Source organism: Homo sapiens, chromosome X (genome assembly GCF_000001405.40).
Source record: "Homo sapiens chromosome X, GRCh38.p14 Primary Assembly".
NCBI lineage: Eukaryota > Metazoa > Chordata > Mammalia > Primates > Hominidae > Homo > Homo sapiens.
Window position 1 is genome coordinate 104,098,624 of NC_000023.11, and position 26,673 is coordinate 104,125,296.

The following is a 26,673-nucleotide window of genomic DNA, read 5'->3' on the forward strand; positions in this document are numbered from 1 at the left end:
GGGGAACTCTCATACACTGTTATTGGGAATGTAAGATGGTACAGCCATTATGGAAAACGGTATGGGTGTCCCTCAAAAAACTAAAAATAGCACTACCATTATGATTCAGCAATCTTGCTGCTGGGTATATATCCAAAAAAATTTTTTTAACAGTATATTGAAAAGATATCTGCACTCCTATGTTTATTGCGGCACTATTTACAAGATCCAAGTTATGGAATCAACCTAAGTGTCCATCAATAAATAAATGGATAAAGAAAATGTGATATATGTACACGATTTAATAGTATTCAGCTATAAAAAAAATAATGCAATCCTGTCATTTGTGGCAACATAGATGAGCTTGGAGGATTTTTTGTGAAGTGAAATGTGAAGTGAAATAAGCCAGGCTCAGAAAGACAAATATCACATGTCCTCACTCATATGTGGGAGCTAAAAAAGTTGATCTCAAGGAGGTGGAGAGTAGAACTGTGGTTACCAGAGGCTGGGAAGGGTACTGCAGAGGAGTGAATGAAGAGAGATTGGTTAATGGGTGCAAAAATACAGTTAGAGAGAAGGAATAAGATCTAGTGTTCAATACCACAACAGAGTGACCACAGTATTCAATTTATTGTGTATTTCAAAATAGCTAGAAGAGAAGATTTGGAATGTTCCCAATGCAAAGAAATGATAAATGTTTGAGCTGATGGATATCCCAATTACCTTGATTTAATCATTACACATTGTACACATGTATCAAAATATCACATATACCCCATAAACATATACAATTATTATACATCAATAAAACTAATGAACTGTAAAAATAAAACCTGCAAACAACCAGAATGTTCCTCAAAGTTATCATGAATAAATCATGGTATATTTATACAATGGTAAACTGTACAACAATAAAAATGGATCAACTACAGCTATCTGCAATATCAATGAGTCTCACAAGCAATGTGGAGTGAAACAAGATAGTCACAATTCCAAGTCTAAAAAGCATTTAATGTTTGAACATCTGTAAAACAAAACTGTTGTTTAGAGATGCTTATAAGGAAGAAAACTTATAAACAAAAGCAAAGAAATTATTATTACAAAAGTCAGCATGGGGGCTACACCTAAGATGGAGGGAGCGGTGTCATCAGTGGTGGGGGGAGAAGAGTAGGTTATTAAAGGGCTCTATTTCTTGCTCTGGCTGGTTATTACATGGGTGATGGCTTTGTAAATGTTCTTTAAACTGGCAGTTCTCTTCTGAATGTATCTGTTTTCTTAATGAAATAGAAAGTAGGGTCACTAGTTGGAAATGATGAGGGAGGGAGTATTAAAAGATTTGAGGAAAGGAAGATGATATGAAAGAACCAGAGACACTGGAGAGTGAACAGACTAGAGAAATACAATATTTTTATCTTTTCTGAAAGCTTTTTATATTGTTTCTGATTTATTATGCTTTTTCTCTCATATGCAACGTCATTTTATTAACTTTAATATACTACACTATATATAGTTATCCCAGTAAAATTATAATGCTATTTAGTGTTTAAAAATAAATTGTAAATGCAAAATTAAGTCAGAATATACCATATAATGATTTGTCATAAAACGTTATTATTTCAACTTGAGCTTTATAAAAGCTGATGTAGTTTATATTTAGAGAAAAATATATATCACGCATATATTGTGTTGTATGATGGCTTTTTATTCTTTTTTTTGACTTTTTATACCAAGTAATTTTAGTGTTAAATTGTATATTTTATGTGTTTAAACAGATATAGATATTTATTACCTCCTTATTTTATTGGTCTCAACTCCTAAAACTCATTTTTAATATCAGAAAACATAGCTCCATTAACATCACTAAACTAAATATTAACATTGACATTTAAAATTACTTGAAAACGACTATGCCCTTAAATTTTGCTCACAACTTTTAAGTGGAAAAAGTTGACAGGTCTGTATAATTTTACAATATTGCCTAGGATTTCATATGAACCGATTTGAAAAACTCAATTATTTAAATTATAACATGCTTTAGTTGTAAATCCATGTTTATATTATAATTGCATAGCTTCAAGCTTCAACATACATAAAGTTTTTATAAAGGCAAATATAGTAAATTTAAGCAATTATTAGCAATTTAGCTTTAAAATATACTCCGAGGGGAAAATACCCAAACTTTTTGCATTGCTCTTACACCACGGCAATCAGCACAGAATATTTCCATGTCCAGATGTGTGGAGTTTTCCCACACACTAAGTGAGCAATCAGTTCTGCAGCGAACACCAGCTGGGTGTACTCCAATTCCATTCTGACACAATCTACCTGGAGATAGCGTCATATCCCACAAGCTGAGGACTAGGTTTCACAAGACTGTTCCCAGGCCCTTCAGACACCAGTCGCAAATCCAAGCCTCCAGAACTTCTGACAGATGGGCTTCAAGTTTGAGTTCACATGACCCCTTCTTTGGGTTTAATTTGCCAGAAAGGGTCACAGAACTTGGGGAAATACTTAACGTTTACCACTTTATTATAAAGGATATATCAAAGGATAGAGATGAAGAGATGCATAGGGTGAGGTACTGCGGAAGGGGCTCAGAGCTTCTGTGCCCTCCCTGGGTCACCACCCTCCAGGAACCTCCACATGTTCAGCTATCTGGAAGCTCTCCAAACCCAGTGCTTTGGGGTTTTTATGGAAGCTTCATTGCGTAGGCATGATTGATTAAATCATTGGCCACTGGTGATCAACTTAACCTTCCATCCCTCTCCCCTCCCTGGAGGTCGGGAATGAGGCTGTTAAGTCCCAACCCTCTAATGGTGCCTTGGTCTTCCTGGTGACTAGTTCCCATCCTGAAGCAACCAGAGGCTGCCAGCCATCAGTCAATTATTAGCATACAAAAAGATATCACTTTGGAAATTCTAAGGATTTTAGGAGTTGTATGCCAAGAAACAGGATCAAAGACCAAGTATATATTTCACAATATCACATATATTGTGTGAGTTTTCATTTTATTATATTCTGTAATAACTGTCCCATTGTCAGAGATAAAACACGGTCTCTTAAAAAATAATTTGGATCTACAAACATTGAATCTAGGAATATTGAAAACTGATGTATGCAACTCTCAGATAGTTCAGGGAAAAAATATCCTGTGTGTGTATAGACAGAGTGCACACTTAAATAATAAAGCAAATGGGGAGAAACATTAATAATAGGGGAATTAGGGTAAAGGGGACATGGGTGTTCTTTAAGCTTTATTTATGCTTGCAACATTTTTAAATGTTTGAAATTATTTTTAAATAAGAAGTTAAAATGAAGAAAGGGACATGGATGGACAGAATGACATAAGTGGAAATCACCAGTGTACTTGGGAGATGAATGCATCTTTTTCCTTTCCTTATGCAGACTCTGTGTTCATACTTCCTTGAATCCACAAGTTGAGTACTGTCCCAACACATCCCGATCTGCAGATGTGGAAGCTCATCTTCAGCTCTCCTGGACCAGCCATTTTCTGCCAACCTTGGTGGCAAATGCTCTCTGACATCATACCTCCAACAACCATGTCTTTAATTTCTGTGGCATTCAGTGAGAAGTTCTCACTGCTAAATCTACAACCAAGTAAGACAAATACAGGACAAATTTGGTTCAGTAAGGAGATGCAAGAGGAGGGCATTACTAAGATATCTGTAGGGGGAAACTATAACACATGTCATCTTGGAAATCCTCAAAATTCCAGAGTTGAAACAAATGGTACAGTTGTACAGTGTGATTCTGTTTGTGAAATTTCAGTTCCTGAACTGGTGCTAATAGCAAACATGCCATCAGTAATATAAACTCATCAAATGTGCCAGTTGAAAGTAATTTTTATTATTGTTATTATTATTATCAGTAGCAGCATCATTATCATTAGCACAAAACTAAATCAATTATTAAAAGAAAGCAAAAACACAGCCCAAAGGCACGTGTCTTGCTGACAGTGAGTCAATAACTTTATCGTCATGTACAAGGGACAGCACCCTGAGGATATACCATATCACAGCTTGATAATCAACTCAGTAATTTGACCAACGTTATTGAGCACCTAGGCACAATGGAAGATTTTAAAATGCATACAAAAATCCCTGCTTTCAATGAGTTTTACAGTCTAGTAGGAGGTATTGAAGAATACAAGAACAAAGGGTCACATGAGATTAGTGACATAATGGAATCAGTACCCTGTATGAAGTGCTGTTAGAAAGGGGCATCACAGAGGCTGGGCGCGGTGGCTCACGCCTGTAATCCCAGCACTTTGGGAGACCGAGGTGGGTGGATCACCTGATGAGGTTGGGAGTTCGAGACCAGCCTGACCAACATGGAGAGACCCCATCTCTACTAAAAATACAAAATTAGCCAGGCATGGTGGTGGGCGCCTGTAATTCCAGCTACTCGGGAGGCTGAGGCAGGAGAATCACTTGAATCCGGGAGGTGGAGGTTGCAGTGAGCTGAGATCACACCATTGGCACTCCAGCCTGGGCAACAAGAGCGAAACTCCGTCTCAAAAAAAAAAAAAAGAAAGGGGCATCACAGAGACTAATGTCACATTCAGTTGGGGAAAATCAAGAACTCCATAGAGAAGGTGACCTCTGAGCTGGGCTTCAAGGAACTGGAAGGATTTTGGTAGACTGGCATGTGAAGAAGGAGCACTGCAGGTGGAAAGAATAGTGTGGGCCAGAGTATGGCCATGGGAAAGTTCATGGAATGTCTGGGGAGAGAACAATAGTTCATTATGGCTAGTGTTTGGGGTTTATGTAAGTGGAGTGACAATATGTTGAAAGTTATATGATGACCATATTTTGAATGGCTCTGAATGACAGGCTAAGATTTCTGATCTTTATGTCATAGTAACTACATTTAACCACATCAACAAAATATGCAATTTTCTGTGAAGAGATATGGTCACTTCACTTCCAGGTTTCTTAGGGAAACTCAAACGGTTTCTAGGCAATGTTATCACCTTGCTCTCAGAAATGTCCTAGCAGATAACACCAAGCAGACTATAGCAAATGTTTCTATTTTGCATGTAATTAAATCTTTTCTTTCAAAGTTTTTATTCTTTCCATCCATGGGCCACGCCTCTTCTCACTCCCATCTCCAGCCCCACTAGTTCTTGTGGCACCTGACGAGTTCATGCAAGCCTAATTTAGGATTTCCAGCCACAGCTGCTACCCTGAAAGTAGGACCCACAGCCTTGAGAAGTGAGAGGTGGTGGTAGAGGCAGTGAACAATATCATGAAAATGTAGCCATCTGAGAAGTTTTATGGAATTCCCATCCTAAGAGTCAAGCATAGTTCTTTGAAATTGGAGTTCCACTCAGTTTGGTCTGGAGGACACCTAGAGGGGTCCCAGAGCTCAGAGTGCCTAAGTAAGGTCATCTTTTTAAGTTTCTGTTTATTGCCAAGGAATTCCTTAAAGGAATGACACTTAATCTGGGTTACATGTTATTTAAAGGCCTCCTGGCTCTGAGGCTACTGAAACTGTGGAGAGACTGGGGTGAACGTTTCTTTTTGACTAAGGAATACTTTTGGGCTTTGTCCTTGCTCAACAGGTTGGTAGTTGGGAACTTCTCCCATGCAATGAGTTTATAGATGCTAAAGGATGGCTGTATTAGGCAACCTAGCCAAAGAAGTAAGCTATATAGAACCAACCAGGGAAGATTTAGAATAACAAAGCTGCCATGCCACACTTTCTGCAGCTAGTCAGTCTTCAGCTCTTTCCTGGAGTGCGACTTCCTCTGCAGGAAGTCATGGATTGCCGTAGTGAGGCCCCATGTCACACTGGACCTTAGGATGACTAGGGAGCCTCCACGGTAGATCAGGAGCAGCTTTCGGCCCCGAGTGTTCCATACATCCTGGGCAGAGGCCCACAGGCTTGGCATGTTCTGCCATCCAATATGGGACTGCATATTAGCAACCAGCACAATCAGAGGATACAGAACTAGGCAGGTGATTGTTCCATTGACACTACCAGACACCAAGGCAGGAACCCAGTGGGGCAGGCCTTGCTCTGCCAGGCCATCCTGGATGGGGTCCTTGAAAGAAAAATATAGAGCACTCCCCAGGCTGTTCCTGGCCAGGACAGGCCAGAAACCACGATAGTAGCCCAGTGACAGCCGCCCCCAAAGCCCATAAGAATTGAATTCCTTGAGAATGCTGAAGGTGCTGGGGAAGCGAGCTTGCTTGCGACCATCCTGGAGCACATTTTGCACCCTTTCAAAGGGGCTGAGTGCCACGGCCTCCACCACGCCAGACATGAGCCCGGCAGCCCAGCGGTGTCCCAGGGTGTGTGGCCCAACAGGAGAGAGAAAGCACAGCAGGCTATCATAAGTCCCAAACAGAAGAGTCCCTTGCAACGTCTTGGAGAGAAGAGGAGGGTAGATTCCCCGGTAGAAGTATTGAGGACCTTCATGCCAAAGCTGTCTCACAGCCTCTGACACTGCCATGGCATGGATCTGTTGCCGGAACACAACCTTATAGATAGGAAAGGTCAGAAAAGTAGACATAAAGTTGGAAACGGCCCCAAGGGCATAGGCCTGGGAATGCCAGCTTTTCTTTCCTGGAGCCTCTGCTCGCGTCCTGTGCTGAAGCTCCTTCCCGGGAGAGTGGTTCTGCTCCCCCATGCTGAAGACAACTGGGTGCAGATGGAAGAAACTGGCAAGGGTGGAAAAAAAGAGATTAGACTGACCAATTAATTCTGTTGGCAAGCATTTTCATTGCTTAATTAGAAATGAACCCTAAGAAACTCAGGTCGACGGAAACAAGCAACTCTTTGAGCCAGTTTCTGATATATAAGCACACCCTTAAGAAATTAAGAATTAATTAACTTTAAATTAAAAGAAAGGCAATCAGTTTTTCTGGACAGAGCCACCACTACAGTATTTTGCTGACACAGCAAATATTCCAATATTCAAAGGATTACGACTGAAAAACATGAAATAGAGGAGGGGAAGACTCCAAAACTTAATGCATCAACTTTCACGACATGAAACTGTGCATTTTATAAACTACTTGAATAATACATTGCTATTCTGTTTAAAAAAATCTGGCACTATCTTGTAGAGGCAGAAAGGCATTTAACAGTTGAAGTGCAATGCTTTCTCTAAAAGTTGGTATTAAATTTGGGGAGGGGGAATCTCCCCTCGCCTTTCTCTCCATAGATTCCTGCCCAAGTTGTAGCTGTTTCATGGCAACGCCCAGCCCCCCTCCAGCAAGTGAGGAAAGGAAAGAGCAGCTGCTTCTGGAAGTTCAGTGCCTAAAGGCTCAGCACCTGGCAACTTCTAAGCCTAACCTTTAAGACCTGTAGCTATATAATAGAGCAGGGTTTCTTAACCTCAGTGCTATTGACATTTTGGGCAGGATAATTTTTTATTCTTGGCGCCTGTCCTCTGCACTCGAGAATGTTCAGAGGCTCCCTGGCTTCGGCTCACTGCGTGCCAGTAGCACCAGTAGTGACTTACACAGTGTGATGACCAAAAATATCTTGAGACCTTGCCAAATGTCCCCTGGGAGGCAAAACTGCTCCCGGCTTAGAACCACTGTACTAGATAGAATAGGCAGTGCAAGGACCCCAAACTATTGCTCCTTACCCCAGAAAGGCCAGGAAGCAGATGGCTAGTATGAGAAGCAACTTGGAAGCCAGGACATATGAAGGAATTTTGGGATCTAAAGAAAAAAAATGAATGCTCAGTGCAGATCTGAGGGAGTTTGCCAGAGAGGAAAGAGGGGGTCCCTGGCTGACGAGACAGGGTGTGCAGAAGCCAGAGCTGCCACCTCAGGGAAAGGAACAGAGATGTGTGGGTGTGGGGCAGGAGGACAGGGGAGAGGCGGAGGGGCATGATGGCCAGGACGGAGGGCTTCCATCTACAGTGACAGGGACACAAAGCTTGGCAGGAACTGCAGACCCACAAGTTTCACACAGAACCCTGGGCTATGTGATGGGGGCATGAAGGTTGGGACTCTAATTAAGCTAGCAGGCCAATGGGGAACCAGAGAGTCCAAGCTGAGGTCCCCAGGGAGGAGTAGAAGCCACACACTGCAAGAAGCCCAATGCAGCCTTCCCGAGGCTGCCAGGCCAAGAATCCGCCTTGGTGTACTACTCCTTCCAAAATCACTCCCATCAGCTCTGCTCTTCCCTAGCCCCTTCTCCCTGCTCCATCCATCTCCCCACAATCCCATTCCTATCCCCACTGCTGCATCCATATCCCCACAATCTCATTCCTATCCCCACTGCTCCATCCATATCCCCACAATCTCATTGCTCCATCAATCTCCCCGCAATCCCATTCCTATCCCCATTGCTCCATCCATATCCCCACAATCTCATTCTATACCCCCTGCTCCATCCATATCCCCACAATCTCATTCCTATCTCCCTGCCCCATCCATATCCCCACGATCTCATTCTATCCCCCCTGCTCCATCCATATCCCACAGTCTCATTCATACCACCCTGCTCCATCCACATCCCCACAATCTCATTCATAACCCCACCCTGTTCCATCTATATCCCCACATTCTCATTTCTATCCCCTTTGCTCCATCCATTTTCTCACAATCTCACTTTACCACCACGCCCCTCCCCTGGAGCCACACTCACCTCTTGGTGGAGGCAGATGGAGGCTCAGCCTCCTGTACTCTGCCCATAACCACCTCCCCCTACCCCCACATTCCATGATGGCCTTGAGCCTCAGCCTCCTTTACCCTCATAGCCAGTACACTGGGAGGACCCCTCTGCCTCTGACCCTTTAGCTGAGAACTGAGCAGGAGTAAAAACTCAAGAGGCCCACTCTTTGCATCCCTTTGGGCCACCTCTGGCCCCTGGAAGCCCCACTTCCATTTCTCCAGAGCCAAAGGGGACTCCTCCCAGATACCCAGGCTGCTAAATCTACAGAAGCCCCCAACAGTCCTCAGCTCTCCTATCAAAGATCTTCTTTCCAAAGTCTTACCTTCACCTAAATAAGGACAGGTGGTGAAGTAAATATTTGTCCTTTCTTCTACCTCAGAGTGCAATAATGTTCCATTTCCTCCCTACCATTTATAAACATGTTCACTGACACCATGAGGCAGGATGATTTAGCAGAAAGAAAACTGGGCTAGGATTTGGCAGTGCAAGGACTCCCAACTATCGCACCTACCCCAGAAAGGCCAGGAAGCAGGTGGGGTAGTATGAGATACCAGCATTCTAAGTGAGTTTTATTATCAACTTGATGTGTGACCTTTAGAAATTCAGTGACATCTTGGAGCCTTACCCATCTGAGCTGTAAATGGAGCAGAAAGGGCAAAATAATTTTTAGTCATCTCCATACTGTATCTGTCAGAGGGGGGTGATATTGGGCATTCAGGTCAATAGTTGATAGAGGAATTGTACTTTTCAATCCCCAACTCCTTCTGCCATTTTTGTAAATCATTTTGGGGGAATAAAGGTGAACAATAATTGAGAAACATCTAACCTTAATATGTAATCCATTTTATAAATCCAATCCTTTCCATTTTATGGGAGGGGAGTTCGTGTTTCTCCCATGTATTTTCTGTTAAGATGCCAGGCTTTGGAAAGGGCAGACAGACCCGAGACTGAATTCTGCCTCTGCCACTTAGTTGTGTGACCTTGGAAAAGACATTTCATTCAGTCTCAGGTTCTTCAGCTACAAAACAGGGGTATTAAGATCCACCTCAAAACGTTGTGGCAGAGATTAATAACATAAAATGAGACAAAGTGGTTGAGAATCCATAACATGGTGGCCTTGATAAGAAGGATCAAAAAAAGATGCTTCTGGACTTCACTATCTGTCTCCACAGAACGCATGCTCCTTCTGGATGCTCTCGGGACAGCCATAACCAGATACAGGGGCATTTGGGAACAAATCTTCTGTTCCCAAGGGAGGCAGGGAAGCCCTTACTTCCACAAATAGGAAGGTGCAACATAAGCAATCTAGGAGAGCCTGGCCCCTTCACATGAATTCAAAGTATAGACCACAGAATGGACCTAGAGTTGGCCTTAAGCAGATATCACCTGTACCCTATGACCTGCCTCCTATGTTTACAGCCTAGTAAAATGAGCCCAGAGGATTCCAGACTCTCCCAGCCAGTCTAGTCCACATGGGTAGACTGTGTGACTGCCCCAGGATCCAGCCACAAATGAATGCATTTGTCTGTTCATTCAGGGCATCTCTCAGCCAGTCCTTTGGTCTGCTCACAAACATGTATTGATCATCCACTAAATCATTGTGGGTAAACCACCATAGAGCTAGAGTGAATAGAACTTGGTGCCTGCCCTCAAGTGCTTAGAAATCTAGTCAACTAGCTTGGGAGACAGGTCAACAGTGTGCTAAACTCTACAGAAAGACAAAATAAAGGGTACAGTAATGAAGGTGGAAGCAAAAAGACAACAGCAATTTATTCCACCTGAGAAGGGGCATATGACTCAATCCTTAATTGAGTAGAGTAGAATAGGCTGTTGTTAGGTAGGGGAGTGAGGGCAAGCATTCTAGGCTGAGGAAGTGGCCTAAGGCACATAGGCTTAAGAGTGTGAGTTGTGCATGGGGCTGGCCTACCCCATGTGGTGAGAAGGAAATAGAGCTGTGGTTGACAGAGAGAAGCCCATTTAAGATGAGGACCACATTTGTCTTCTCCGCTGCATTGTGTTGTAGGGCACAGAGATGGGCTCTGGATACAGGCAGCCCTGGGTTTGAATTTCACTCTGTCACTTCCTAGCTTTATAACCTTGGCCAAGTTTCATCATCTCGCTGATCCTCAGTATCCTTATATGTAAAATGATTGTCATGAAGGATGCATGAGACAAAGTATGGAAAGTGCTTAGCACAGCACCTGGTATATAAGTTGCTTCATAAGTTATATTAGCAGTTTCATTTTTTAAAAATGAGATAATAGGAATAAAGGCAAGATAACAATTAAATTGTTCTAAAGGCTGCAATTGGTCTAATGAACTGGGTTATCTACAGAATGCATTTTGGACTGCTTGTTTGGAAGGCAGCAAAGAAGAGTTTTCATGGGCTTTGGAGTTCGACATCCCTGGCCTGCAGTCTCAGTGCCTCCACTTACAAGTTGTGAAGCCTGACACAAGTTACTTAATGTCCCTGAAATTCAGTTTCCCTTTCTGCAAAATGGGATACAATAGCTGTCTCAACAGGGTTGATAAGAAGCTTAAAAGAGATAACAGACAGAAAGTTCCTGGCACAAAGGAGGCAGGCAGCCAAAGGCAGCTATTATTGTTTCAACTGAAAGCTTTATCTCCAAACCTTCAAGCTTTTAAGGTTTATTTGTTGAAATTAGAAAATGTGGTCTCATTAGAGGCATCAGTTGGAACACACTCATACATGTGAGGCCATGTCCTGTATCCAATTGAAGCCAGGTTGCAAATACTACCCCCATCCCTGCATGAAGAGTCCCTCGCTTTGTTCTAGTAGCCCAACCCTGGCACCTTTACACAATCCATTTCCTGTCATTATTTTTGTCTGAGCTCTGACACCTATTCTTGGTCCTATGTGATTCCATCCCTACCAAGTCCAGCTGCAAATACCTAATTTGGTGATAAAGCCAATTTAAACACTGAACAAGACTCTTCTGGGAGGTAAGGGTCAGATGTCACGGGATGGGGGAGCAGAAGCAAAAGTCTGAAGGAAACCTAAGAGCAACTGCCAGCATCACCCCTAAGTGTGTGAGGTGAGCAACTTGCCTTCTCCATACATCCACACTTTCCAGCCTCCACCACCACTACCCCACTGTTCCATCCACAGACCATGATCCTGAGATGGAAGGTGCTTATCTCCAAATTTTTATTGTTTACTCCAAGGAACTCTAGATCTTGGGGTTGTAAATAAGAGGGCGGAAAGGAGCAAGTGAAGTACCTTGGCAGACTGAAGATGAAGCCAACAGCAGCGGAAGGGCATCAGACTGTTTACTTGCTTCTAAACATCAGGAGTCAAGAACAAGCCCCACAGAAGCCTCCTAGCCACACTATACATAAAGGAAGTAATACCTGCTCTCTAAGTCAGGGAAAAATGGAGCAGGTTTTCCAGCCACTGCCTTCATGGCCATTCACTTTGGACAGCCCTGCATGCCGTTTCCATGGAGTTGCTCCTTCTCTGGGGCCAGTGATGCCAAATCCAGCAAAGGAGAAGTACCCTGAAGAGCTCACAGAAGGGCAACCTAGCAACCTGTCCTTGAGCCAGGAAATGAAAGAGCCATATCAGCAACAGAGAGCTGTGGTTTGGGGGTTAGGTTAAATGGGGTTTTATTTCTCACACTTCTTCATCAAGCATGGCTTGAAGAAGGAAGACGTTATGACAGACCCATTTGAAAATCTGCAAAGCTGTGGGCTCAGAAGAATGTACGGAGTCCAGATTCTTTGCATACAATTCCAGGAAGGACCTCGGGTAGGAACCTGTGCTCTGGAGTTACATTTCATGACAGATATGCCATGGACAGATACACTGATGGCAGGCCCATTTACTTATAACCTTCAGCATCACGTGGTGGTGTTTAGAAAAGTGGTTCATGAATCTCTCTACACCTCAGAATCAACTACAGGGCTGGTTAAAACTACAAATCACACTCTTCACCCCTAGTCCTACTACATCAAAATCCCCCAGGGGTAAGGCCCAATAATCTACATTTATAACAAGCTCTCCAAAATGATTCTGAGGCAGCTCACCTTGTACTCACACTTTGGTTAATAGCATGAGTTCTGGATTCAGAGACTCAGTTCAAATTTTGGCTTCACCTTGTATTTTCAGACAAATCATTTTACCTCTCTGAGCCTGGCCTCTTTGGGGTCACAAAGGGCTGTCGAAATTATGTTGCTTTTATAAAACAGGCAGCTTGTTGTGTAAAAAGAAAAAAAAAGAAGAAAAGAAAAAAAGATTAATAAAAAAAATGAAAGAAAGAAAAGTACCAAGAAGAGTTTCCTCTTCTGTACAATGGGCACCATAAAGGTTGCCCTCATCTTCCCTCAGCCCTCTCCCCACTACCTCCTCACCCCCTCCCTCAGCACTATTATCACATTGAGACTGCTGTTGAGATGGTTTGAGACTACCTGTGCAAAAATACTCTCCAGGCAGCGCTGCAGGGCAACGAATTAGCATCTAGAGAGCAACAGACGGTGCTAGGTTGGATGCTGTAACTTATTTGCTGCAGGATACAGGCCAAAACTAGTAACCTGTCTCTCTCTGGCTCAGTTTCTTCATCTGTGAAATGGAGATAATGGTTCTTGCTCACCAATTCTATGCAATCCCAAGTTGGTCCTCCCATCTGGCTTTGGTTTTTCTCCACTATCCCTTAATCTGACAGAATAGAGGAGTGCTGGCAAGGGGCAGCCTTTGAAGTCAGACATGGTGACTTGGGTGTGAGCTCTTAACTCTGCACTTCCTAACTGTACTGCCTGGGTGCTTCAGTCCTTTCCTGTTAAATGGGCACACTACTACCTCCTTCACACGGCTGCTGAGAAGAGGAAAGGAGATGTCCATGCAGGCGCCTCTGCACACAGAAAGCACTCAGTAAACGCTGTTTCCCCGCTTCCCCCTATACAAAGGTGAGGAACTCTCATTGTTCACTTGGTTTCTGTCCCACCTCGTGTTTAAGGTATCCGGTCTAAAAGCCCGGAGGAGAGCCGAGGTGTAAGGGGATAGGGAGAAGGGAAGAGATGGGTTAGCAGCAAACTCACGGATGAAAGGGAAATGGGCCCAGTCCGTGCGTCCGAGCTGCTGACGCCGTGCCGCCTCCCGCGCCTGTCTGCCGCAGCCCCCGCCCGCCGGCCCGCCGGCCAGCCGGCCCGCTCCCCCTTCTTGCTAGCAGTAGCTTCGGGGCCGGAGGCTGTGCGGCGAGGCCGCCCCCTCGCCCCGCTGATTGGCCGCGTCGCCCGGCCCGTCACGCTCTTTTGTCTCAGTCGCCAGAGACTGAAAGCAACCGCGGCTGCCCGGAGGGCCGAACTGGAGGGTGGGCGCAGCCTTGGCTGCCTTGGGAACCGTGCTGCCTCGACTCGGCTACCCCTCGCTGGGCGGTCGTGCGCACTCGCTAGGTCGGGCAGCCCCGGGTCGCTTAGCGGCCGAGGAGGCGGCAGAGATCCCGTTCCCCTGCAGAGCTACGGGGACCGGAAGGCGAAACAGAGCTGTGGACGCGGGAGCACATGCTGCCCACCAGTGGAGCACAAGTAAAGAAAGAACGCGCGATTGCCCGGCGCGGAGAGGGGTGGGGGAAGCCCCGCCAGGACTGGGCGGCGCCCGGCTTGGAGAATCAGTAACTGCGAGGCAGGGGATGGAGCACTCCCTTGGCCTGGTTGCGCTGAGGAAGGAGTTGTGGTTCATCTGGATGCTGCCGACTGGATAGGATTTAGGATTTGCCTGGATTAAGGTGGGTGGGGGTGTTGTCGTAGGTCGGGGGTGTTGTTGGGTGTCGGGGGCGGGGTGTGTTCGGGGAGGTGGCAAGGGGCGGGAGGAGACGATCGCAAGCTGTCTTGAACCCCTTTTGCATCTCCTCATCTCTTCCTGGGAAGGAATATGAGGGTGGGAGGTTATCCAACTTCTAGTCTCTTTCTCCCTGGCAGGTCATCAAAGCCGAATCCGAACTTGAATTCTGTGCGGCGGATTGCAGAGCTGGTAGGGCGAGGGTCTCCCGGAGGAAATGTAAGGGGGATGCGCGGGAGGGCAGGAGGCACTTTGGCTTGCGTTCAGAAGATGGGAGAGGGAATTTTCCGCCTGGCGACAGTGGAGGCGGTGGAGGGGAGGTATCAGGTTTTCAGATGAAGCTGCTTCCAACCCTTCCTTTCCCTCCTTCGCGGCACAGTCTTGAGGCCCTGAGGACTGGGATCTGCGACACCCAGTGGACAAAAGTCGGCCGTACCCCAGAGGCTAATTTTCTCACGGCAGGCACCTGTTGCAGAGGCTGCACGTAAAATAAAGGCGAACGCTAGTTTCCGAGCTCATGTAAGAATCTGAGAAATAACGGGGGAAACGTTGACAAGGGGGTGTGATTGAGACCTGAGGCCATGAGGTTAATGGTTTCTTATTATCATAAATCTGTGACACACAACCATTGAGTTCCGTTTTGAGGGCCCAGTATCAGCTCCCAACACTATGTCATCTAGAATTAGAAGCAACAGTTGTCGCCCCTCCTGGAGTACAGGCAGGAGGGGATGGATGTGGCTCTGAAAAACTACCTACTAGCCCAGGGACACCTGCTAGCTCTGGAATGTTGTAATTGCCAGTCTCCTGCAGGGTATTGTTAAGGCACTGGGCAGATATAAAATGCACTGCAAGGCTATTCAGGAAGATAGAGAATGCTACTGCAGACTGCTTCCCCACAGCCCACTATCTTATTAACCTTTTTTACTTTCCTTAGAATCCCTACTGAAATATAAGGCAGGCACAGCCCAGGAACGTTGCTTTGGAGAATCCTGCAGATAAGGCTTTTCCAAAAAGCGCGAGCATCTTGTTGTATTCAGATACCCTATCGTCGTCAGTCATGGCTAGCATCACTGCGTGTGTGGGTAACAGCAGGCAGCAGAATGCACCTTTGCCGCCTTGGGCCCATTCCATGTTGAGGTCTCTGGGGAGGAGTCTCTGTCCTTTAGTGGTCAAAATGGCAGAGAGAAACATGAAGTTGTTCTCAGGAAGAGTGGTGCCAGCCCAGGGGAAAGAAACCTTTGAAAACTGGCTGATCCAAGTCAATGAGGTCCTGCCAGATTGGAGTATGTCTGAGGAGGAAAAACTCAAGCGCTTGATGAAAACACTTAGGGGCCCTGCCCGGGAGGTCATGCGTTTGCTTCAGGCGGCCAACCCCAACCTAAGTGTAGCAGATTTCTTGCGGGCAATGAAATTGGTGTTTGGGGAGTCTGAAAGCAGTGTGACTGCCCATGGTAAATTTTTTAACACCCTGCAGGCACAAGGGGAGAAAGCCTCCCTTTATGTGATCCGTTTAGAGGTGCAGCTCCAGAATGCTATTCAGGCAGGCATCCTAGCTGAGAAAGATGCAAACCAGACTCGCTTGCAACAGCTTCTTTTAGGCGCTGAGCTGAATAGGGACCTGCGCTTCAGGCTTAAGCATCTTCTCAGGATGTATGCAAATAAGCAGGAGCGGCTTCCCAATTTCCTGGAGTTAATCAAGATGATAAGGGAGGAAGAGGATTGGGATGATGCTTTTATTAAACGGAAGCGGCCGAAAAGGTCTGAGCCAATAATGGAGAGGGCAGCCAGCCCTGTGGCATTTCAGGGCGCCCAGCCAATAGCAATCAGCAGTGCTGACTGTAACTGCAACGTGATAGAAATAGATGATACCCTTGATGACTCTGATGAGGATGTGATCCTGGTGGTGTCTCTGTACCCTTCACTGACACCTACAGGTGCCCCTCCCTTCAGAGGAAGAGCCAGACCTCTGGATCAAGTGCTGGTTATTGATTCCCCCAACAATTCTGGGGCTCAGTCTCTTTCTACCAGTGGTGGTTCTGGGTATAAGAATGATGGTCCTGGGAATATTCGTAGAGCCAGGAAGCGAAAATACACAACCCGCTGCTCATATTGTGGGGAGGAGGGCCACTCAAAAGAAACCTGTGACAATGAGAGCAACAAGGCCCAGGTTTTTGAGAATCTGATCATCACCCTGCAGGAGCTGACACATACAGAGGAGAGGTCAAAAGAGGTCCCTGGAGAACACAGTGATGCTTCTGAGCCACAGTAAGGATCTAGTCCAGCCCTAAATGAGTCCTTGACTGTATTCAGAGTCTGGTAATGGGAATAACAGGAGAGGGGGGTGGGTTTCTAACTGCATGAATTAATCCACAAAGCAGTTTTCCTTTGGGAAGGAGAAGAGGTCTTGCATACCAGCACAGTGGATGGGGAATGGTGTGACCTCTGTCCCTGCTCTCTTCTCTGCTGGCTTAAGGGTCTATTCTCCATGTGTCTATTTCTTTGATGACTTTATACTTTTTATGAAAGGAGCATCTTTTCATTAAACCTTCAAAAATAAAGGAAGATACAAAAACTAAAGTACAAATTACCTGAAACTCAGCACCCTTTTGTAACCATTGTCAGCCCTTTGGTGAATGTCCTTCCAGATATCTCCCTGTACCTGTGTACCCAGATAGATATATGTATAGATAAGAGTGACCAAATATAAGTGCTGTTCTATACTGTGTATTTTTCACCAAATAATGTATCTCGTGGACTTCTATGTCGATGAATATATATAAATATCTAACTTCATGTCTCTGTGTGATGTTACTTTTAGAAAGATAAAGAAAAATGAAACTAAATATAGAAGCTATAAGGGGGGGTCATACCATGAGGAGGGGTTTTTATCGACCTCATTTATAGGAAAGGAGAAAGGAAGCTGAAATGGACTGAATATCTCCCATACAACCCCTTAACACAACTGACCTGTCTCCTAGGTCATAGAGCCAACCCCTGCACCCATGAGTTAATAATGTTCCAATGTTTTCTTCTTGAACATATCATGAGACATCAGATGGGGAACGGGGGGGGGACAAAAATTGAAAATGGGTATTCCAGAGGCTCCATTCCTGTTTGTATTGGGAAGGGACAACTACTCCTGCCCGATCTCTTGACCTCAGATTAGAGGGTGATAAAAGATGACATGTGACCTCTATCCCTGAGGGTCCCAAGTTTCTGGTAGGTACAGTAGTCCCTATCTTCACGAAGAGGTCAAAACTGGCAAGGAGCAGGGGGGAATGATTTCATTTAAGGCAAGGAGTGGAGTGAAATGAATGCAGACCTGAGGACCTGAGGGAGTTTGCCTGGGAGGAAAGAGGGGGTCCCTGGGCTGACAAGACAGGGTGTGCAGCAGCCAGAGCTGGCACCTCAGGGAAAGGAGCACAGAGCTATGTAGGTGGAGGACAGGAGGACAGGGGAGAGGGGGAGGGGTATGATGGCCAAGCTGGTGGGCTCCCATCTACAGTGACAGGGACAGGAGGCCTGGCAGAAACTGCAGACCCACAGGTTTCACACAGAACCCTGGGCTATGTTGTAGGGGGAGTGGAGGTTAGGACTCTAATTAGGCTAGCAGGCTGATGGGGACAAAAGGGTCTAGGCTGAGGCCCCCAGGGAGGAGTAGAAGCCACACACTGCAAGGAGCCCAATGCAGCCTTCCCGGGGCTGCCAGGCCCAGAATCCACCTTGGAGTGCTCTCCTTCCAGAATCACCTCCAACTCTGCTCTTCCCTGGGCCCTTTCCCTTGCTTCATCCACATCCCCATAATCCCATTCCTATCCCCACTGCTCCATCCATATCCCCACAATCTCATTCCTATCACCCCTGCTCCATCCATATACCTACAATTACATTCCTATCCCCTCTGCTCAATCTATATCCTCACAGTCTCATTCATACCCCCCTGCTCCATCCATATCCCCACAATCCCATTCAGTTCCCCCCTGCTCCATGCACATCCCCACAATCTCATTCAGATCCTTCCTGCTCCATCTGTATCCTCAGTCTCATTCCTATCCGCCCTGCTCCATCCATATCCCCACAATCTCATTCAGATCCCCACTGCCCCATCCATATCCCCACAATCTCATTCATATCCCCCCTGCTCCATCCATATCCCCACAATCTCATTCAGATCCCCCCTGCTTCATCCATATCCCCGCAATCTCATTCCTATCCCCCTTGCTCCATCCATTTTATCACAGTCTCACTTTACCACCACTCCCCTTCCCTGGAGCCACACTCACCTCTTGGTGGAGGGAGATGGAGGCTCAGCTTCATGTGCTCTGCCCATCACCACCTCCCCCTCCTCCGCATTCCATGATGGCCTTAAGCCTCAGCCTCCTTAATGCTCATGGCCAGTAGACTGGGAGGGCCCCTCTGCCTCTGACCTTTTAGCTGAGAACTGAGCAGGAGTAAAGGTCCAAGAGACCCACTTTTTGCATCCCTCTGGGGCACCTCTGGCTCCTGGCAGCCACCTCCATCTCACCACAGGCAAAGAGGACCCCACCACCCACGCAGGAGGCAGCTTCATCAAGCCCCCAAAGCCACAGGGTCCCCCAACACTACCTGGCTCTTACAGCCCCCTATTCCTCCCTACCTCTCCCAAAGTCTATCCTTGGAGGGGATTTGCCCACTCATCTCTCCAAGATTAGAATATAGTTCCCCTTGCTGCTCACCTTTTCTCAAATTCACTCTATAAATGCTATTGAATGATTTACCTAGATATGCTGTCATAATTTCTTTCTGAAACCAGGTAGAGTGAAAAGAGGAATAAATGCTACACCTACCCCCATCCTCCTTTTCACTGGAGTTAGCTTGGAGGTTCAAGATCATTACTTTGAAACCCTGCTGTGTAATTCATCCCCTTTCCTTCCCCCCCATCCTGTCCTCTGTTGTGTAAACCTGAAACTGTCTAAATTTTTACTTCACCAAAATGATGCAAAAGTGAGACTTTTTATTTCATTTTGTGTCACACTGGCTTTCCTTTATTCAAGAAGTATGTATTTTCCCTAATTGGAAGACAAAGAAGACTTGGAGTGATTACAGGGTTAAGTGAAAGAAGGCTTTTAAAAAATTTTGTGTTTGATACCCTTCATTTATAATTATTGTTTTTCCTTTCCTTTCTCCCTTCATTCTCATTAGTCGCCAAGAGATGAAAATTGCTCTTTTGTCTTGTCAGGAGAAACCAGCCTTTGAATGACCTCCTTTTGCAATATCTCCCTCCTTCTTGATACTATTTTCCCTTGTTTCCATGACATCCATCTCATGGTTTCCCTCTCCCAGATCTTTTTGATGCCTACTTCTCAGTGTCTTTTGCCGAATATTCTTTCCCTTCCTGATCCTTCCACAATAGCAATAAAAATTAAAATCACTGCAAGTGCGATTTATTCCAAGCTTATTACATGCCAGGCACCCAGTGCCAAGCCTTTAAAATGCATTATTAGCTTTTCATAGCAACTCCCTTAAGATAAGCATGACTTTCTATTTCTAACTTGCTATTAATTTAATTACTATTAATTGACACATATTTCAGATGATGAAACAGGCTGGGAAGTTAGGAAACGTACTTAGGGTCATGTAATTATTTAGTGGTACAGTCAAGGATAAGACACTGGACTGACTGATCCCAAAGTCTGTGTTCCTTACTTGAGTTAGCCATCATGTGCACAGCACCCCATGAGGTAGGTGTTACTATTATATAAAGATGATACATGAGGAAAGCAAGGTCAACAGACATAATTAGCCAAATATCATAGCAGCAAGTGGCTTGTGCGCCATACACAAGGATGCAGCCTTTAAGGAATACTTGTGTGACACAGGCCACCTTTCTTTCACATCCTCTTGTTGCAGCTATCCTTCCTGCTGCCTGGCAACCATCCCCTCCCCCTTCAGAGTTGCATTATCACATTCAGTTCAGGTATCAAGTTTCCAGTCTATGCTTTTGGTGCAAATGGTTTTGAATTTGATGTATGCAAGAGGAGACAGCTGCAACAATGAGTGGAGGAGAGATAAATTGTTCAATTCATGGTGCTGGGGGGAACTTCATTACCTGATTGGAAAAAAGGTCAGTTTCCTTTCTCCCATGACACTAAATATGAATCCCAGATACATTTGAGCAGTAAATGTAGATTTTATGCAATTATGTATTAATTCTTCTTTAATCGTATATTTTGTTATAAAATGAATAAAAAGAATCAAATGTTCAAAAGCAACCCCTTTTAAAGCTGCAACACAATACATGTTAAACCTCTGGGTTGGAGAGAACTTTCTATGGTTAAGAGTAATGAAAGAAAGTATAAAAGAAAAGACTGATAACTCAGAAGACAGCATTAACAGAAATAAAATACCAACAGTAAGCTGAGAAACATTGGCAACAAATATCATGGAAAGGGGGCAGGGCTGGCAACAAATAAGAGAAGCAATAATAACAGCAAATCTGTATTGTGTTTAGATAGTTAACATTTATTAAGGTCTTACAAAGTGCCAGGCATATTCTACAAGCTCTACATGGCTTTATACTTCATTTCATTCTTACAACAAGCCCTGAGATAGATCTTATCTTAAAATTTCCACATTCTAAAACACTCTTTAAGCGGGGGGCGGGGGGAGCAGAGGAAAGTGCATAAAATATAAATTTACAGCTTAACAAATTATTATAAAGCAAATCACCATAAAGATCAAGAAACAGAACAGATCAGAACTCCAGAAATTCCCATAAGTCCTTGCCCAATCACAACCTCTTTCCTCTCTCCAAAACAAAACAAAACACTCTCATGACAGTTTTAGCTGTTGCTTTCTTACTTTCCTTTATAGCTTTACCACTCAAATATAGATGCCCAAACACTACTGTTTCTGGAGCTTTATGTAAATAGAACTATAATGCATATATCCTTCTATATCCAGCTCATTGCCCTTACAATTATGCTTCTGAGATTCAACCTGGTTGCATGCGGCATCGGTTCATCATTCTCAGTATTGTGTTACAGCTTTCCATTCTACGACTTTACAAGAAATTATCCTTTTACTGTCGGTGGACATTTGGACTGTTTCCAGTTGGGGACAATTATGAAAAATGTTGCTAAGAACATGTTTTTAATGTCTCCTGGTACATATGTGCACACACAAGGTATATATGTAGGAGAGGAATTGCTGGCTCATAGATTGTGTATATTTTCAACTTCACTAGATACCACCAAACTGTATATCAAAGTTGTACCAATTCCCACTTCCACCATCAATGTTTGAGAGTTCCTGTTGCTCCACATCCTCACAAACACTTGACATTGTCAACAAAGCTTCATAACTTTTGCTTGAGGTTTTGTACGTCTATTATTACATTTAGTTCAAGGTAATTGTGTATACTACTATAAATTAAATATTGGTTTAAATTTCATTTTCTAAGGGCTTGTTGATGGTATATAGAAATATAACTGGTCTTTTGATGTTGATATTGTACACTGACTTTGCTAATCTCTTAATAATTTTAATCTGTAGCTTCCTTAGAATTTTCTGCATACACAAGCATGTCATCTGTGAATGATGGTAGTTTTATTTCTTCTTTCCCAATCCATATACATTTCTTTTTCTTACCTTACTGCATCGACTGGGACCTAGAGTACAACTAGTGAGAAGAGACATTCTTGTCCTATTCCTGAACTCAAGGGACCACTTTGAGCAATTCAACATTAAGTGGATGCTTGCTGCAGGTTTTTAGTAAATACCACTTATCAGTTTAAAAATGTTTCCTTCCATTCCTAATTTACCATAAGTTTTTAAAATAATCAATGGATGCTGAATTTTATGAAATGCTTTTTCTGTATCTATTATATATGCTTTTTTCTCATTTATTAGTTAAAATGCTAAATTACATTATTTGGGTTTCTAATAATAAACCAACCAGGCATTCCTGAAATAAACAAGATTTGGTCCTGATTTATTACAATTGTTATATATTGCTGGATTCAATTTGCTAATATTTTGTTTAGGATTTTTAGATCTATGTCTGTAAGAGAGATTCACCTGTAATTTTCCTTTCTGTATAATGTCTTTGTGAGATTTTGGTATCAAAGGTTTGCTGGCCTCCTAAAACTAGTTGAGGAATACAATTCTTCTTTGGCTTTCTTCATTTAAAAACCAGGCAACTGAGGTCCAAGGTGTTTAGATTATTTTTCATAACTGCATTAAATCCAATTATTTACTTGTATCCATGATTTATTAAACCAGCCTCTTTAGAGCCATTCATTACCTTGTTTCCTTGTTTCACTGTTATAAACCCACTGAGAAAAGCATCCTTATTCACATACAGGTTTGCACATGTGAACGATTATTTCCTGAGGATACATTCCTAGAGGTGACGTTACTGGAACAAGCACTATGTTTCACAGGAACCAGAGCAGAAAGAGAGGTGGCCTGTGGCACATCCTACTTTAGTAGCTCTGGCTCACATTCAGGGCCCTTCCTCATCTCTTAAACTTGCTGGGAATACCCTTTAACTCTGAGCTACTAGAGACTTTAATACTTAATAATATTTAAAGGTCAACTCAGCTCTAAGAAACTCCCCAAATTAAGTTTTCAAATGATTTGGCAGGAGGAGCGGGTTGTTTTTAACATTTTCAATGGAACTTTCCAAACCCACATGAAATTATAGAAAATGAATGATGAATCCCCATGTACTCATCATTCAGCTTCAAGAATTATCAATATGTTGCATAATTTGTCTCATCCCCCACATTTTGATGAAGTATTTTAAAGCAATTACTAGACATCACATCAAATGGTATGATATATATATATATATATATATATATATATATATATATATATATATATATATATATATATATGAACATAGATATTTGGTAGAGATGGCAATCGCACTCTGTTGCCCAGGCTGGTCTCAAATTCCTGGCCTCAAGTGATCCTCCCGCCTTAGTCTCCCAAAGTGCTGGGATTACAGGTGTGAACCATCATCCCTGGCCTGATTCTTCTGTATTCTACCCATAGTTCTATCCCCCCTTTTTGTTCCAAAATTTTCATTGTGGTAAAAGTTACAAAAAATTCACCATTTTGACCATTTTAAAGTGTACAATTCAGTGGCATTTAGTACGCATTCCAAATATTTTTTATTTGTATATGTCTTTATTCTGAGTCCATTTTTCCAGAGGTTTATTAGTTTTTTGTACATATTTAGATGTCTGATTTCTTTTTTTTGTTTTTTTTTTTTGTTTTTTTTTTGAGACAGAGTCTCGCTCTGTTGCCCAGGCTAGAGTGCAGTGGTGTGATTTCTTCTCAGCAGGTGCAGACACTTCTCTGAAGACCAACAGCAGAACTGAGTCTCAGGATGGGTAAAGGCTTCTGTAAACCTCCAGATCCACAGCCCCAACTACTTTCCCTTCACCCTGGCTGAATACCACATCTTGAGGCAATCAATTACTAAAAGGCTGCTCACACTCTCTTTTTCCGTAATGAGACTACTTCAGCCCCCTTTTATTTGGCTACTCTAAATTCTCCTTTTATAGGGATACAACAGCCCTCAATGACTTCTTGAGGAAAAAGAAGATAATCACAAATTCAGTTTCAACAAGCAGGACATTTTGCTATACTGTACCAACTAAGCCATGTTCCTCAATCCAGCTTTTGGGAGTCTGAGAAGAAATACCTCTCAGAGCAGGGAGTCAAGGAGATATATTTTTATTCCAATCTGAATACTGTACTTTGTATAAAGGTGGCTGATCAGGTTGCCTGTGGAGAGGTTGGGTGGTTGGACAAGAAGAGGGATGTGATTTGGGCATTCCTGAACCTTTGGCTCCTTATCCTCAAAGGAGGAAAGGAACTTGGGCAAAGTAGTTAACTTCTCTGCTTCAGCTTCCTCACCAGTAAAACGGAGACAATAACAGGAAGTCCCTCACAGGGTTGTGGTAAGAATTAAATGAATGAACACTTGAGAAGTCTTTAAAAGAGTGCCTGGTGCACTGTAACTACTGTGCCATAGAATGCCATCATAACGACACCAATCGCTTCGCTCCAAACTCTCTGAGCACCCTTGTAGATGGATTACCTAAACCGTCCCTCCCAGACTCTTCACAGAGAATTTCATTAAAGTCAGTAGACTTCAGCTACTCTCTCTCATGTGCAGGGGAAAACAATATAATCCCTTTATGAGCTAACCAAATAAATTCTCTCAGGAACTGCCCTTGCATGAAGAACATACCTCCAGGGATGCTTGCTTAGTTGGGGAGGTGAGTGAGGCTCTCTGGACCTAGCTGAGATGGCCTGGACCTAAAGGAAGAGAGTAGCTCAAATTCCCCACAGAATAACTCAGAAACTTTGAAGGATGGGAGCTGGTAAGCCAAAGAGGTGAGGGAGCTCTAGGGTCAGGCAGGAAGCTCAATGGAAGAGAAATTTGAGAGAAATTGTTCTAATATTCTTCTGTGTAGTTTGCTGATTTGTTTATTTTTTTTTTTTACTTTTTTTCCCTTTTTTTAAAATTATACTTTAAGTTCTGGGATACATGTGCAGAACGTGCAGGTTACATAGGTATACACGTGCCATGGTGGTTTGCTGCATCCATCGACCTGTCATCTACATTAGGTATTTCTGCTAATGCTATCCCTCCTCTAGCCCCCTACCCCTCAACAGGCCCCGTTGTGTGATGTTCCCCTCCCTGTGTCCATGTGTTCTCATTGTTCAATTCCCACTTATAAGTGAGAATATGTGGTGTTTGGTTTTCTGTTCCTGTGTTAGTTTGCTGATAACAATGGTTTCCAGCTTCATCCATGTCCCTGCAAAGGACATGAACTCATCTTTTTTTATATATTTATAGTATTCCATGGTGTATATGTGCCACATTTTCTTTATCCAGTCTATCACTGATGAGCATTTGGGTCAGTTCCAAGTCTTTGCTATTGTGAATAGTGCTGCAATAAACATACATGTGCATGTGTCTTTATAGCAGAATGATGTATAATCCTTTGGGTATATACACAGTAATGGGATTGCTAGGTCAAATGGTATTTCTGATTCTAGATCCTTGAGGAATCGCCACACTGTCTTCCACAATGGCTGCACTAATTTACACTCCCACCAACAGTGTAAAAGCGTTCCTATTTCTCCACAGCCTCGCCAGCATGTGTTGTTTCCTGACTTTTTAATGATTGCCATTCTAACTGGCATGAGATGGTATCTCATTGTGGTTTTGATTTGCATTTCTCTAATGACCAGTGATGATGAGATTTTTTTCATATGTTTTTTGGCCGCATAAATGTCTTCTTTTGAGAAGTGTCTGTTCGTATCTTTTGCCCACTTTTTGATGGGGCTGTTTTTCTCTTGTAAATTGGTTAATGTTTTACTGGTTAGCCTTTCAAAACAATTTCTGGCCAGGCACAGTGGCTCATGCCTGTAATCCCAACACTTTGGGAGGCTCTGGAGGAGGATTGCTTGAGGCCAAGAGTTCAAGACCAACCTGGGCAACACAGCAAGACCCCATCTCTACAAAAAATAAAAATGAAAAAATTAGCCAGGCGTAGTGGCACATGCCTGTAGTCCTAGCTGCTTGGGGAGCTGAGGCAGGAGGGTCACTTGAGCCCAGGAAGTTGAGGCTGCAGTGAGCTATGATCATGCCACTACACTCCAGCCTGGGCGACAAAGCAAGACCTTGTCTCAAAAAAAAAATACATTCAATTTAAAAATGTATTGTAACATTGTTTAGTGTAGCACACGCTCAACTAAAAAGAAATAACTTTTTTCCTTTTTTTTTTTTTTTTTTTTTTTGAGACAAAGTCTCACTGTCGCCCAGGCTGGAGTGCAATGGCGTGATCTTGGCTCACTGCAACCCCCATCTCCTGGTTTCAAGCGATTCTCTTGCCTCAGCCTTCCTAGTAGCTGGGATTACAGGCACACACCACCATGCCCAGATAATTTTTGTATTTTTAGTAGAAACATGGGGTTTCGCCATGTTGGCCAGGCTGGTCTCAAACTCCTGACCTCAAGTGATCTGCCCGCCTCAGCCTCCCAAAGTGCTGGGATTACAGGTGTGAGCCACCACGCCGGGCCAAAAAACAACTTTCAAACACAGAAAGGGGAATAAGTAGAAGTGAAAGTTCCCCAGCTTCCCACAGTCTGGTCTGGGGTGTGTTCTTCGGCTTTTACACAAACACAAACATATCTATTCTTGTTCTTTTTCTATAAAAGTTGGGTCATAGCAG

General features: G+C 43.7%; 2 protein-coding genes and 1 long non-coding RNA gene across 8 annotated transcripts in view, besides 3 other annotated features; 1 reads left to right on the forward strand and 2 right to left on the reverse strand.

The window, feature by feature from the left end:
• Positions 1 to 590: 590 nt before the first annotated feature.
• The window catches only part of SLC25A53 (solute carrier family 25 member 53), a 57,796-nt gene continuing 31,713 nt past the window's right edge, over positions 591 to 26,673 (reverse strand). Inside the window, exons 1-3 of one of the 4 annotated variants that reach the window (XM_011530953.4) lie at positions 13,693 to 13,793; positions 7,601 to 7,676; positions 3,825 to 6,665 (exon numbers count right to left, since the gene is read on the reverse strand). In XM_011530953.4, the coding sequence (XP_011529255.1) occupies positions 5,711 to 6,634 (924 nt within the window). In that variant the 5' untranslated portion in view covers positions 6,635 to 6,665; positions 7,601 to 7,676; positions 13,693 to 13,793 and the 3' untranslated portion in view covers positions 3,825 to 5,710. Of the gene's footprint in view, positions 6,666 to 7,600; positions 7,677 to 12,684; positions 12,851 to 13,692; positions 13,794 to 26,673 lie in introns of those variants that run through there. The other 3 variants (XM_011530952.4, XM_005262129.6, NM_001012755.5) reach the window with 3 other exon arrangements.
• Positions 6,039 to 6,538: an enhancer, noted in NCBI's record as "H3K27ac hESC enhancer chrX:103349345-103349844 (GRCh37/hg19 assembly coordinates)". NCBI's record gives its function as "activates a minimal SCP1, AML or CMV promoter by ChIP-STARR-seq in naive H9 embryonic stem cells {active_cell/tissue: H9 hESC(naive)}" and the evidence as "EXISTENCE:reporter gene assay evidence [ECO:0000049][PMID:30033119]".
• Positions 12,184 to 12,423: an enhancer, noted in NCBI's record as "active region_29825". NCBI's record gives its function as "activates an Ori minimal core promoter by ATAC-STARR-seq in GM12878 lymphoblastoid cells {active_cell/tissue: GM12878}" and the evidence as "EXISTENCE:reporter gene assay evidence [ECO:0000049][PMID:35858748]".
• Positions 13,621 to 13,850: a silencer, noted in NCBI's record as "silent region_20923". NCBI's record gives its function as "represses an Ori minimal core promoter by ATAC-STARR-seq in GM12878 lymphoblastoid cells {active_cell/tissue: GM12878}" and the evidence as "EXISTENCE:reporter gene assay evidence [ECO:0000049][PMID:35858748]".
• ZCCHC18 (zinc finger CCHC-type containing 18) lies at positions 13,900 to 17,219 on the forward strand. 3 transcript variants are annotated; one of them, NR_026694.3, is made up of 4 exons: positions 13,900 to 14,378; positions 14,572 to 14,623; positions 14,811 to 14,950; positions 16,629 to 17,219. NR_026694.3 is itself a non-coding variant. In XM_011531012.4 (3 exons), exon 3 carries the CDS (start codon positions 15,489 to 15,491, stop codon positions 16,698 to 16,700), a length of 1,212 nt encoding a protein of 403 aa, XP_011529314.1. In that variant the 5' UTR covers positions 13,900 to 14,378; positions 14,572 to 14,650; positions 14,811 to 15,488; the 3' UTR covers positions 16,701 to 17,219. The 3 variants fall into 3 exon arrangements, 2 of the variants coding, with proteins under 2 accessions (XP_011529314.1, NP_001137450.1); XM_011531012.4 differs by having other exon boundaries at positions 14,572 to 14,650; positions 14,811 to 17,219; NM_001143978.3 differs by having other exon boundaries at positions 14,811 to 17,219.
• Positions 23,682 to 26,009, reverse strand: LOC286437 (uncharacterized). Its single transcript, NR_039980.1, has one exon. It is a non-coding gene; the product is annotated as an uncharacterized LOC286437 (long non-coding RNA).